The 14,555-nt window shown below is 38.9% G+C and overlaps 1 protein-coding gene across 3 annotated transcripts in view; it reads left to right on the top strand.

The window, feature by feature from the left end:
• Positions 1-14,555, top strand: part of HTR2A (5-hydroxytryptamine receptor 2A) — a 66,537-nt gene that overhangs the window by 47,797 nt on the left and 4,185 nt on the right. The gene's annotated exons all lie outside the window — the stretch shown is intronic.

Here is a 14,555-nt window from a genome sequence, read left to right as displayed (position 1 = left end):
AGTATTTGATTGTGTTATTTTTTATCATTATTATTTACTACCACCACCATGACATAGTCCTCCCTGATGCACTGTTAGCATGTAAAGATGGATGATTATTATTAACTAGGATATTAGAGAAAGGGCTCTGTCTAGGGAAAGTCCTCAAATTAACTAGCTTTACCTTCAACTTCTATAAAGCCCTACTTTGTCAGAATTGTTAGCCCCCAAATGATCTATATTTGGGCAATTTCTTGCCCTTGCCAAGATAACTAAGGTAATAAGGAAGTCTACTAGGTAGTCATAATTGTTCTCTCCTCTTCTTTTTATGTTGTATGTGTTCCCAAAGGCCTCTGCATTTGCTTCTTCATTTATTCCAGAAATCTTTATTTCATGCTTAATATTTAAATACTATGTGCCATGCACTGTCTTAGGAAAAGTATCTGCTTTTATGGAGCTCACATTCACGTAAACAGAGAGATGACAAGCAAATAAATAGACCAAACAAGATAATCTCATACAGTGGCAACTGCTAAAGGAAAAAAACAAATCAGAGAAATCCGCTACAGAGTGACTCAGGCAGGGTGAGGAAGGCTGACTGGGGAGAGGGCATTTACATGGACACCAAATAAGAAGAAGCCAGCCATGGTAATATCAGTAGAGAGTGGCGTGTTCCTGGCAGTGGGAACAGCAAGTCCCAAGGCCCTGATGAAGTAACCAGCTTACGGGGTTGAAGGAGCAGAAAGCAGCCAGTCCAGCTCAAGTGTAGTAAGAAAGGAAGGGAGTGAGAAGAGAGGGGGAAGGAGAGGTCAGCAGAGCCACATCTCTGAGGGCCTGCAGCCAAAGTAAGGAGTTTGGATGGTATTCTCAGTGCAGTGCGGGGTCTCTGAGGGTCTTAGGCTCAGAGGTACACAGGTAAGGATGGGAGCCCCTTGAGGGCAGTGGGGAAGGTCTTGTGGTAATTCAGGCAGGAGTCCTAGTGGCTTAGAGTACAGAGATGGCAGTGGAGAAAGAGAAGTAGGCAGATTAGGTCAAAAAGTATATTTTGCAGGTAAAATTAGGATAGATTATTAGGTAGACTTATTAGAATGCTGGTGAGTCTTTTGCAAAGGCAGGATAATGGAAAGAGACTCCTAAGTTTTTAAGCTGTGTATCTGGATAGATGGTAGGACCATTTACTGGGATAAGGAAAGGTGGGGGGTGAGCGAGTGCAACCCAGAGTCCTAGTGTGACGGTGTAAGGTTAGGGATGCCCATCGGAGACATCCAAATTGAGAGGCCAAGGAGGCAGCTAAATGTCTCAGTTGTTCATTACTTATTATGACAATGCTTAGCCCTTGGGGTGGAGGTTTTGTTATTTTCAGTTTCCTATCTCCTGTTTCTATTCCTGCTTCCCACGTATAAGTAATATCAGATAGCAGTAATTTCCATATGCATCTCAAAGTTCTTTACGAGTAAACACTCTTAATCCTTAAAACCCAAAAAGTATGAACTACAAAATGAAACAATGAAAAAGCTAACTAAACTCTTCTGATGTCATGAAAAGAACACTAGATTAGGGTTCATAAGGTCCAGATTCTAACAAAAAATGGAAGTACAGAAGAAAACAAATCAGATGTAGATTTGAGTCTTAGCTTGTGCATTTATTAAGTATAAGGCCTAGACCAAGTTATAGAGTATATTTTCTTCATCTGTAAAATGGGAATAATAATTCCTTCCTTGTGAGTTCCTCGTGAGGATGAAATGTGCTGACATCTGTGAAGACCTACATAGTGTCTGTTGCATTGTGGACACCTGTAAATGTGGGGTTTTCCCCCACTTTTTACCTATTAAACTTACACAGAGAGCTTAACAGTTCTACCTTGACTCATTAACTGTGAAAGAAAGCTGCTTCCTTAGATAATCGCTAAGCTCTATTTCATCTCTTCAAGAAAAATCTGTACAAGATCTTGAAAACAACCAGATAAACTTCTTGATTAAAGCTGCTTTTAACCTGAACTCAGTGCATCTTTCTGCAAACTAAAGGCATACTTAAGACTGGGGAAGACAGGGCCTTCACAAGCAGAAATTAAACCATAGAAATGACTCTACAATGTTGCAAAACGAACAAAAAATTCTCCCTCCAAATCACTAATGTTTCAGGGTATGTACAACTTTTTAGGAGATGGAGTAAATGAAATCTCAGAGAGTAGAGGCTTTCATATCACTCACTGAAAGACAGTAAAACCAAAAGGTCTTCATCTTGGGCTTTCCTGAGCTGGATGGGAAGTTTGGAGGTCTCAGCCAACCAGACTGTTGAGTGATAAAAAGTGAAACTGTGAAGAAGCTTCTAGAATCCTAGAAGCTCTAGGAAACAGTGGGTAAGACAAGAGGGAGATACAGAAGTTTAGCTTGGGTTACAAGAAGAAGTTGCTAGTTAGGGACTTTCTGTGCCCCAAATAGTGCCCAGGGGCACTAATCTATCTGCATGATAACAATTTTTATCCGAATCCCAGAGGCGTGCATCTGAAACCCAAACTAAGAAAGATCCTGCCTAATCTTAGGATTTAGGACCCAAAACAAAAAGTTGTTTGGGCCTCGTGGTACAAATAGTGTCAGCTGATCAGGACGAGAACAGTGACCACAAGAGCAAGGCCAAGATGAGAAGTCCATAAGAGATGGAAATAAAGAAGAACCCAAAAGAAATTTGTAAAGCTCTAAACCTGTGCCAAGCTAATTGAATAATGAAAAATGTGTCTAGCCCACAGATCTGTTTTGTTTGGCTTGCACAATGTGTTTTGTTTCTTATTATATTGAACTTGATTGCCCTCAGGCACTATCCAGTTTACCAAGCAACACCCTTCCTACCATCTTATCTGCCAACAGGTAGCTCAATTACATTACTTCACTGGCCCTGTAAGCATTTGAGATGATAGCTATTGGTATATAGTTTATGTTTACAGATGGATTCATTTTTAACTGTTAAACACTTGAACTTATGTTGACTGCAGAGATGCCAGAAAAAGAGAGGAAGATCATAGGGGAAAAAAGTGGGAAATTGAAAAAGGGTAGAAATCCTAGCAGAACTATCTTTGAAAGAGGCACCCCCGCTCACTGCCCCAATTACAGCAGCTACAAATCATGCCGTAGGTCAAGTGAAGTGGGTGCCTGCCATATTTCTTTCAACTAGCCTTTCAGTATTTTGGGAAATTCCCAAGAATCGAAACTCAAATTCCCACCCTTCTTTGTAGCTAGGACATTGGCTTATAGCCTCAGTTCCACCAAAGAGCAGCATGCTGGCAAAACTGCAATTTGGAAAAGAGCAAAATGAACAAACAGGAGGAGTCAGCCACCCCCATTTTTGCCAGCACAGCTGAGGTGTCAGGTTTCCAGGGCTTGCATGACTGAATTCCCTGGACAGAAATGACACTAGTGACACTGTGGCAGGTCCTTCTGTTGTCTTGGGTGAGAAACTGATTCCGTATTAACATAGACCTCTGTGCAAAGAACTGATTCCTTGTCAACACAACACCTGTGAAAAAAGTCCCAGATTTCATATGACCACCCTTCTTCCCACAGAGAAAGGACACAGTGGAAGTCTCTCTTTTGTCCTTGTTCTGTGAATCCCAATGTGTACTTTTAAGGCAATATGACATTGCACACCCATTACTCAGCACCCTTGGCACTTGACTTCATTGTCACCATCCACAGTCAAGAGGTCATTCAATTTTCACTGAGGAGACCATTATCAGCCATTCTGGGAAACATTCTTGCTCTGCAGGACCCCTATCTTGGGTGATGAACTGGTTCCATATTAACAGAGACCTATGTGCAAAGTGGCAAGCAATGTACAGATTTTTAAACTAAATATAAAGATGATATTAAACTGGTTTTCATTTCTGTTAGCACCAAACAAGAGTGGTTGGAGGTTTCAGCTACAGCAGAGATTTTTAATGAAGAACTCTGGGCATTAAGGATGGCTGTAGAACATTCTTCTCTATAATTGCCAGCTGTTAGACAATACTATATTTACTATATAGTATTTACTTTATATTTACTATATAAGGGTAGCAATTCTCATTTATATTTCTCATGATCATCTCTTGAAGGGTACACTGTTAATCCCCATTTTATGGGAGAAAAAAAACTCCAATTAAATGACTTGCTTAAAACCAGAGGGGATCCAAATTTGGGTTTTCTCATTGCAAACTAATGGCTTTTTTTCTCCTGTATCAGTGGCTTTCCAAACATATTCTGCAGGTTCCCTACCTAGGCTGTGTGGGACAGCCTAATGCTCCTAGGCTACAAATCTGTACAGAGTGTTACTGTACTGAACCCCATAGACAATTATAACAATGGTAGTTGTGTATTTAAACATATCAGAAAAGGTATAGTAAAAATACAGTGTTATAATCTTATTCTAATCTTATGGGACCACTGTTGTGTGCGCAGTCTGATGTTGACTGAAACATTGTTATGGGTGCATGACTATGATAAGATATTATTTTCCTTTCTCCCATTCACCCTTTTAAGAGGGTAGAGAGTTTTCCAGAGGATACATGCTATGTAACTTCACAACAGACTGAAGCAGAAGCAGATATATTTCCCTGTAAGATCCTAGTTTTCTGCTTATATCTCTGTATCCTCTGCCTCCCTAGTCTTTTTTTCTTTTTTTTTTTTTTTTTGGAGTGATGAATTAATGAATGGTAGTGAAGGTGTTAGATTGTAAAGTAACTGATTATAGACTCAACCACCTTCCCCTCAAATTCCTCAAGTACCTAGCTCAGTGTAGGCTCAATTACTACTTGATTGATGGATGAAGGAACAAAACTGATTGCTATCATAGATAGAGGACCTGCTCAATGCTTCTGGTAAGTGATAAGCAATGTGTGCACTTGCTCCTGAGTTCACAGTTGCATACCAGACAACAGACTGCCTCAGCCCCAGCAAGTCCAGGCTCACCTGGGCCCAGGGTGGAGAGATCACTCCTGTCTCCTTGCCTCATCCCTGTCCAGATTCTATTCATTCACAGGCCCAGCTCAGCTCCTGTGCCTTTCCCAGGGATGCCAACCAACAATGAGCCTCGCACTGTGACATCACATAGGAATTTATCTATGTCATCTATTTTGCCTCTCGATCTCATTCTGTCCTGCACTGCTGCCTTCCTAAATCAATTGTGTATATTTTGTTTTCCCTATAAGATCTTAGACATCATGATTATATTGAACTTGGGTGATGTGTACATAGGGTTCACAGTACTATTTTCTGTAGTTTCGTGTGTTTAAAATTTTCCATAATAAAAAGCTTAAAAAAAAAAGATCTTAGACATCATGAAATGTCTCAAAGGTCTTTTGCTTTACCCAGAGTCTCACATAGTGCTAAGTAAATTATAATCACTCTCATCTAAATAAATCTTAAAACTTTACAAAATGATTCAGACTCATCATCTCACTGCTTTTTCACCAAAGCCTTGCATGAAAATTAGAGGAGGCCTCTTTATATTATCTCCACCTTACAGATGGAAGCTTGAAAGTTAAGCAGCCTAAGGTCACCCAGCTAGTGATTAACAGAGTCTGGAGGCAAACCTGTGTCTTGTGATTCCAAATTCTGTGATTTTCCCACTATATTCATGCTCCAGTTTGCTGATACATACTTGTTTAATTTACCTGAAAGACACTTTGTGAAAAATAACGGGCCTAGATCCAGGATATGAGTCAGAACAGACAGGAATAAACGCAAGTCTCCTGATTCTCACTAGGCACCATGTTCTACAGCGATCTTTTCCCTTGTGATTTTAGCTGTTAAGGTGGTCAGCTCATGTGCTGGTTAATCCTATATGTGCCTCCCTTAAAAGAGTGTACGAATTATGTAGTATACAAATTTTGTATCATACAAATGTCCATTTTCTTTTTTCCACCCTATGTGGCTAATTGGCAGCCTCATTACTGTGTTTTCCCAACAAAAATGAAGGGAAGCATTACGAAATTATTCAGTAACTTCAAGCTGTGTCTATAAAGTGTATTATAATTCCCAACTCTCTCTTTTATTTTCCTCTCTCTCATTTGTTTACCCATCAATCCCACAAGCATTTACTAAGCTCTAAGTATAAGCAGAAGCACATTCGATGCTGGGATGTCTTACAATACACAAAGAAAAAGATATCCCTGCTATTAATGAGATTGTCATCTCATGAATATAATGACATGTCTAGAGAAAAATTCTAAGATATTGAAAGTGTGAACTAGCACAGTATAATTTATTTATGGAGGTGTTGAAGGAATATTGAGTAAGAAAAATAGTTCTTATTATAGAGAGAATTAATTTGGGGAAGGTTTCATATAGCGGATGTGCCTTGAGATACGTTTTGAAAAAAATTGTAGGGTGTGGTTTGGAAACATGATCTCCATCTGCAGATTCCCAAAGCACTCCCAAATAATTGTACAGTTAAAGTACAATAATGTGTTTTGTATGCAAATGTAGCCTCAAGACAGGTTGCCTCATTCCCCCATGCCCTCCAGCCGCCACTCCTAAGCCCCTGCTACATAGAAATCCTGGAGCCCCTACTCATTGGTGTAGCATTTCAGGGAAAGGAAAGTCATCAAAATTGGTCCAGGGCAAAAATGAAAAGTAAGTCTCTGTACCTCCCAGTAGCCGTTTAGATTGCCCCTTCCCCATGGTGCTCTGGGCTTTAACGAACAGCCCAGCATGGCACAGCCACCATACCTCCCTCAGACCTGCATCCCTGAGCAATCTTGTATGTCTTCCCTCCTAGGGCAACCTTCCTTTCCAAGGCCTATGCCCTCAGGAGTCCTCCCTACTATGCGTCTTTGTGCTGCTGCACCATGAACTTAGGTTAATAGTCAACCCTCCAGGGTATTATAGGTACACAGAATGGACCTCTCACTCTAACAGAGAGACACTGCAGTACAATAGTTTCCCCTTACCCTTGGGGCTCACATTCCAAGACCCCTAGTGGATGCCAGACACTGTGGATTGTACTGAACCCTATATATACTATGTTTTTTCTATGTGCACATACCTGTGATAAAGTTATTTTATAGATTAGACACAGTAAGAGACTAACAATCATTAATAATAAAATAGAACAATTATAACAATATGCCAACCTCACTACTCTTGCACTTTGGGGCCATTCTTGGGTAAAATAAGGGTTTCTTGAACACAAGCATTGTGATCCCACAATAGTTGATCTGCTGAAATGGCTACTAAGTGACTTATGGGCACAGAGCATCTGCAGCATGGATCCACTGTACCAAGGGATGGCTTACATCCCAGGTGGGGTGGAGTAGGACAACACAAGATTTTATCACACTACTCAGAACAGTTAACAATGTAAAACTTACGAATTGTTTATTTCTGGCATTTTCCATTTAATATTTTCGGACTGTGGTTGACTGGGTAACCGAAGCTATGGAAAGGGAAAGCAAGCTTAAGGGAGGACTACTGTATACCAAGCAAGCTACTGAGAGAAGACATATATGAGAGGAGGCAGGACTTGGGGGCTCCTTAAATCACACTCTGTGACTGGTTGAAAAATCTTGCTATGGGTAATATCCTCCTGAATAGTTCAAGACATAACATAAAGAAGAGAGCAACAGAGAGAGAACACCATATGACTATTGAGAAAGTTGAATAATTATGTTAAAATCAGATTACAAAGACCCTGTAGGGTGGGCTGAGTAGCTGGTAATTGCTCGAGTGTTAGGGACACTATAGGCTCTTGTGTAATATGATGGAAAAGGTGCTTTAGGATGCTGCATACAAGCGAGGCTGGAGGAAAGAGAACTGACTGTTGTGGGTCTAGATTATGTGCGCACCTGCCGCAATCTAGCTTTCCAGACACCATGGCTGTTTCTCCCCACACCTTCTAGACCAGAGTCTCTGAAATGAGACATGTCACATGTAAGACTCATTCTCCAAGCTTTCAGAGAGAATCACTCCAAAATCTGCCCCCTTGATAGAAATGGGAGAAAGGATACAATACTTTCAAGATGGGGCCCAATAATGTAGGACAGAGATGAGTTTTTTTTCTAAATAAATCTTTACTCATGAGCACGTTGCTAAATATGCAGCCTAGAAAAGAGCACCTGCTAGGGGTAGATAGTGTAATATCCACTCATTAAAAAAGAAGGAGGCAGGTCTTGATTTTGCCCCCAACTTTCTGTGGCATTGAAGAGTTTTATTTTTATTATTAATATTATTTTTCATTTGTGAATCATAATTGTATCATTGATGACGTACAAATGTGATATTTTGGTCGATGCCTACAATGTAGAATGATGAAATTAAGCTAACTAACATAGTGATCAGCAGAAGTTGCCTTATTACTTGTGATTCCAACAACAAAACAAGGCTCTGGTTATTTATTCAAATTATATTATATGGTTCAGATTCTCTTTGGGTTTTGTAATATATTGTCTGGGGGCTGAAATGGTAGATGAAAGTCAATCTTCTCTGAGACAAGAGAGATGTGGATGGGTTCTTAAGTGTTGCAGTGACGGCTGACAAGCCCCATCTACAAGCCAGAATTCAATCTCTTCGCCTTTCAGTGCAAGATCTTTATATTGAAGCACAACCTCTAGGCTATGAAATGGAAAAGAAAAGGAAGGAGGGTCAGAGGAGACAGAGACCACTTTATAAGGAATCTATGATGGGGGCAATTAGGCCACCAGCTTCTGCAGTGCACAACTGCTTACAGAGATCCCTGGAGTGGTTGTTGTTTTCATGTTTATGTAGTGCCTGGGCATTTATATTTTTTAAAGTACTAACATCAGAACCCCCGAGAATGAGGCTCAGGCAATGTAACTTTTAAAACTCCCTCAGTGATTCTAATGTGCAGCTACAGTTGAGAATAACTTCCCTAGTATTTGAAAGAAACTAAATGTTGATTATAAGGATTTTATTTTTGAACTATTTTTCTGGCCTCAATGAATTTAATGTCTGGCTAGAGGAACTTGTGGCTTTGAGATGAAAGAATGCAAAAACAAAATCAAGGTACAGAAAATCACTGGTGGGGGTGGTGGAGAGAGAGAGAGAGTTTGTGCTGTACATGCAACATCGGCGTATTAGTCTGTTCTCACACTGCTATAAAGAAATGCCCAAGACTGGGTAATTTATAAAGGAAAGAGGTTTAATTGACTCACAGTTCCACATGGCTGGGGAGGCCTCAGGAAACTTACGATCATGCCAGAAAGGGAAGCAGGTGCATCTTACATGGTGGCAGGTGAGAGAGAGCGTGGGAAGGAGGAACTGTCAAACACATAAAACCATCAGATCTCGTGAGAACTCTCACTATCACGAGAACAGCATGGGAGAAACCTCCCCATGATCCAATCACCTCCCACCAGGTCCCTGTCCCGACATGTGGGGATTATGAGGATTACAATTCAAGATGAGATTTGGGTGGAGACACAGAATGAAACCATATCAATTGGTGTAATTTAGTGCTTATTAGTCATATTAGGGGCTAGAATTTTTCTGCCCATCTAAGGAAAGATCTATCTCCAAGGAAATATACATATATACAAATTTTTCAGATTTTAGGATTATCATAGACTTCCTGAAGCCAATGTTAAAAACCTCAGAGGTAGTCATAGACTTTTGTAACTACCTTCAAAGGAACAAATAAGCAGTTTTTAAAAATCCACCATAAGAATTAAGAACCCTGAGTAGAGGTCTTGATTTTGCCCCCAACTTTCTGTGTGATTCTAACTAAATTACTTAAGCTTGGTAGGCCCAAGTTTTCATATCTGTAAAGTGAGATTTTCATCTGCCCCATAAGAAGGTGTGGGTAATGTTTTAACAATTTTGTAAAAATCAATTTAGAGTGAATAAACAAATATGTGTGATAATACCTTGAAAAGTTGCAATTTATTATCAGAGCTATTTGGAATTAATCTGAGAAAAAGAAACATACAGCTTTTGGGTAACTGACATGTTTGTGTAGCTCTCATTTTTATGTACATCTGCCTTGTCAACACACCATACATAGATTAGAAGGAATTTAGCCACTCTGTATCAGGATAGTGAGTCCCATTGGCAGTTGCCCTATATATTCAATTCTTCTTTCCCTGTAATATGAGGATTATCCTGCAGTGTTTACCAGTGGTGTCTTCTGTCAAACTACTAGTAAATTTGTTCTTATAACTTGAAAAATACAGCATGCATTAAAATTCAAAGAAAAGGTAGCAGTTTGGGGAAACAGAAACCTATGAACCCAAATTTCAATCTTTTTCACAAGAGCCCCGAAATAACTTCTCTGCCCTCCACCTCCTTTCCAGCTGAGGGCCCTAGGGACTGCCACTGTCCTGTTCCCTACAAGAGAATGGTTATCTAGGAAGGCAATCTTCTTATTTCCCAAGAAATGTACACTGTCTCAGAAAAAGTCCAAGATTAAGAATAAAGCCAGTCCTTCACAGCCAGCGGTTCAAAGTGAATTATTGATGCAGCCTGTGGTAAGATGTTAACTAGAGGTGCAAAGTTTATGTGCAGGAAGTAAGCAGAGCCATGCTGAAAGAAAGACACCAACCAAAGCTTTTGTGTTCTTAGGTGTCAAGGTTTCCCATTCATTTTATTGTCTGAGTTTCAATGGAAATGAATAAAATGCTACATAGAGGATCTAATACTGATAGTGAATTTTGACTGCTGTTTTCCACTCTTCAGAAAAAATATATTAAACAAAATGCAGAGTCATGTAATTCAGGTTACTGTCTGTTTTGTTCATAAAGGAAAATGCTTTATATGCAGAAATTTCAAGTGAGAGGAGATGTCAGGTCTCCAAAAGCAGCTATTGTCAAACAAAGCAGCCAGATAATTAATGCCCTAGAGATGGCTGTGACCACGATATTGGATATCAGCCCATGTCTTCATCTCTCTTGGTAGAGGCACATGCTTTTGAGCTGCTGATTGTACCCACAAAGCCTATCTATGTGTTCTAAGTTTTTTGACATAAAATTTCCTCTCCTCTTTATAGAGTATTACTTTAACTTTCTGGTTATTCTTTCTACAACCCTTGCTGACCAGATACTATGAGTGAGGCATGGAAAAAGAATGGTATACGATAGTATTCAGGATGTTTTTGTTATATGTAAAGATGAATAGGCCATTTAAATAACTGATCAGCTTGATTCTCCACTTCCAAATTAATATCCCCCTTCCAGACAGAACAGCTCTGCGTGTAACCTCTTACCACATCCTCTTGTAGAGTGGCTTTTTATCCCGGGCATTTAAGAGAGGGATTCTCTATTTCAGTGCAGATGACTCCATCACCCCTCTCAGAAACTGGGCTATTCTGTAAGGGTGTGTGTGTGTGTGTGTGTGTGTGTGTGTGTATGTGTGTGTCCAACCAAAGACACTATTCCAAATAATTAAAGAATTTGGCATTTTAGGTAAGCCCACATTCTGGTTAATTGAGAATTGCCACTTATGTACATTACTAGGTTATAAGCAAATAGGGCAAAAGGCTCTCAAGGTAGTTACTTCCTTTGTATTAATTAGAAAAAGAACACTCAAGAGTTTAATAACAAAATCACACACCTTTTTTGGACGGTTGATATCTTGTTTCTGTGTATCATGACTAATAGTAATGCTGTAATTCATCACATTAGGAAAGTAATCAACAGTTCTAGCTGCACAAAATTAAAATTGATTAAGACCCGGCGTCACCCTGGCAGAAGCTAAAATTACATCAGTGTTAACTCTACGGCCAATAGCCAAAAGTCTTTTTAGTCTCTTTTGGTTTAAAAAGATCTGCTATATAAAATCTAGTGTATACAAACTAAGCAAAATGGATTAGAATAAAATAATGTTGATATATTTAATATAAATAGTTCTGCAGAGAAAGCTACTCTCATGTTTATTGACCACTGGTAGAACATCACTATGGACTGGGTGCTGTGCTAGGTGCTCTGCAAATTTGATCCATTTTATCCTCACCAAATGCATGAAGGTATGTTGGTGCCAGCCTCCCACGATAGATGAAGAAGTGGGGACTATAGGAATGAAGTAACCAATTCAGGAGCCCAGAGCCACAGCCAAGACTCAAATCCAGGGATGTCTCAAATGGTTGAACAAAGCATCCTTTCTAATCAATGAGCAACTGTGCTGTCTAAGAAGACCTTGTACATGAGTACAGGAAATATCTTTCACAGATCTAGATTCAAACACTGGGAGAAAAACACTCTTCTTAGAAATCATGCCCTTACTTTTACAATCAAGAGTTTTCCGAAGGATAAGCAAAACTGGTCAATATCCAGGGTCTCAGAGGATGTTCTCCTTGGAGGCACAGCTCATCAATCTCTTCTTGAATGTTGCAAACAATGGGCCAGGAACAGAGAGGGATGGAGGAAATGAAGAGTCATTAGCCACAATAAGTGTCCTTATGAACAGCTCTGATGTCATTTATCTCCACCTTCCAAGAATCCTGGATGGGCTTGCATAGGCAAGTGACAAATATTGTTAATTAAGTCTTTGAAGATAATGGCAAATGTCACTAAGAAAGATTTGTGTTGAATATTACATCAACTCAGCGTTCTTTCCTGGCCACGATGGCCAATGTGAGGTGACATGAGGTTAGGACAGTCATGCCTGTGCTTGGATGAAGCGGAACTCTGTTCTGAGTATGCAGAAGTTAGATTAGAGATTCTCCAAAAACCTTTTTCCAGATGGATGGCAAGAGTGAGGCAGTGGCCCCCAATTCTGGAATAAACCGGTGTTCTTGGCTGGTGTGAGACCATGTATTAGACTCTAAAGACGGTCAGAAGCAGTAACCACAACACTCTTTGTTCTACAATTCTGAGTGTGCTGATAATATGGGCAGGAGTTAGAAGGGAACTATTTTTCTGACTTTTTCTCCCAGGCTGTCCCTGCAATATCTACCATTTCATGAAAGAAACAATCTTAAACTAAGTTATACAGAGTACTTGATTCATGTTTCCTCTCTTTTTTATCATCCTGATTCTACCTTTATGGCAGAGAGAATAAGCCATCTCATGATTGCCTTGGACCAACCATCCCAGGCCAGTAGAGAAAGATACACCTATTTCCCCAGGAGCAGAGAGGTTGTCCATGGTGGGGGCTGGGTGGTGAAACTGCACAACATGGCCAGTTGAATCTTCCTTTAAAAAGGTCCTATCATCAAGTGGGGCACATAGCATGATTAGAGGCCAGGGGTTGCCTTTATTCACTTCTGCTTCCTCCTCTGCCTAATCCCTGTACCTGAGGGAGCCTTACAGATCCCCCAAATCTGGGTGATGGAGCAATGAACCATATAGGCCCATGTTCCCCTGTATTATCTCATCCTATACCTACTTTTTATATTTGTCAATAAAAAGTCTATGGCTGTCTTGTTTTTTGCAATCCATCCTTATGAATGCTCTACTACTAAAAACATAGAACAACCTTTATGGGACAATTGGAAATTTGAACACTAACTCTACATTTAATATTAAGGAAATATTAAACTTCTATTTAGGAGTGAGAATGGTATTGTGAAAATATTAGGTTTGTCTAAGAGTGCATGGCTTTTAGATCTACGTAATAAATATTTTCAGATTGAATGACATGATGTCTAGGATTTGCTTCATAATAACATGGGAGGGATGGCAGCCAGAGGACATATGGATGAAACAAGATTGGGCTTGAGCTGATAATCTTTGAAGCTGGGTGACGAGTTCACTGTACTGGGTTTGGTTTTTGGTTTGTTAGTTGTGTGTATGTTAAAAATGTCCCATAATAAAAGCTTTTTTAAAAAGAATTAAAATTGGTTATTTTAAATTAATATTAGAAAATTGTATTTCTCAAAAATATTTTATGTGCAATTATCATGATTTATAATGTTAAATGGAATAGGAAGATCTAAAACATATAAGGTACAAAGTACTGCATGTAAAGTACTGCATATACACATTTGCTTTTATATGTACATGTAAGTGGAAGAAGAAATGATGCAAATGTAAATTATGGTTGCCCCTGACTGGTGAGAATACATATTATTTTTCTTTATTCATTGTTACATTTTTGTACCTCCCAAATTTTCTAGAGAGAAAATAAACTATATTTAAAATTTTATAGTTATTTTTATATATAAGCCATGCTTGTGACATATTATTAGATTTTTTAAAAAAGATACAGAACTATTTGTGAAAAAGAACCTCAATTCTGTTTTAAAATGTGTGCACATGGTAAGTGTGTGAATGTATCTAAAATGAACAGCATCAAAAAAAGAAACAAATCTATATTCTAGATTTTCATAGACAAAAATAAATAAATATATAAATAAATAAAATGAACAGCATCAGTTGTTAATTGTGGCTATCTCTAGATGGTGACGTTATTGGACAATTTTTAGTTTATTTGCCTCTCTGTGTGTTTCTTCAATTAATAAGTATAATATTATAATCAGAAAAATGTGGCATAAAAAATAAAGCTAGATTTATTATACTTCTTTATAAGGGTTAGCTATATAGGGCAATATAACATACAAGTAACTACATAATATATACTTACAAAACACATATGTAAGTCCAAAGGAATTTTAAATTCTCAAAGTATGTTAAGCTTTTAAACGATGATATAAAA

Source organism: Homo sapiens, chromosome 13, assembly GCF_000001405.40.
Source record: "Homo sapiens chromosome 13, GRCh38.p14 Primary Assembly".
Taxonomy (NCBI): domain Eukaryota; kingdom Metazoa; phylum Chordata; class Mammalia; order Primates; family Hominidae; genus Homo; species Homo sapiens.
This window is presented reverse-complemented; position numbering and strand designations above follow the sequence as displayed.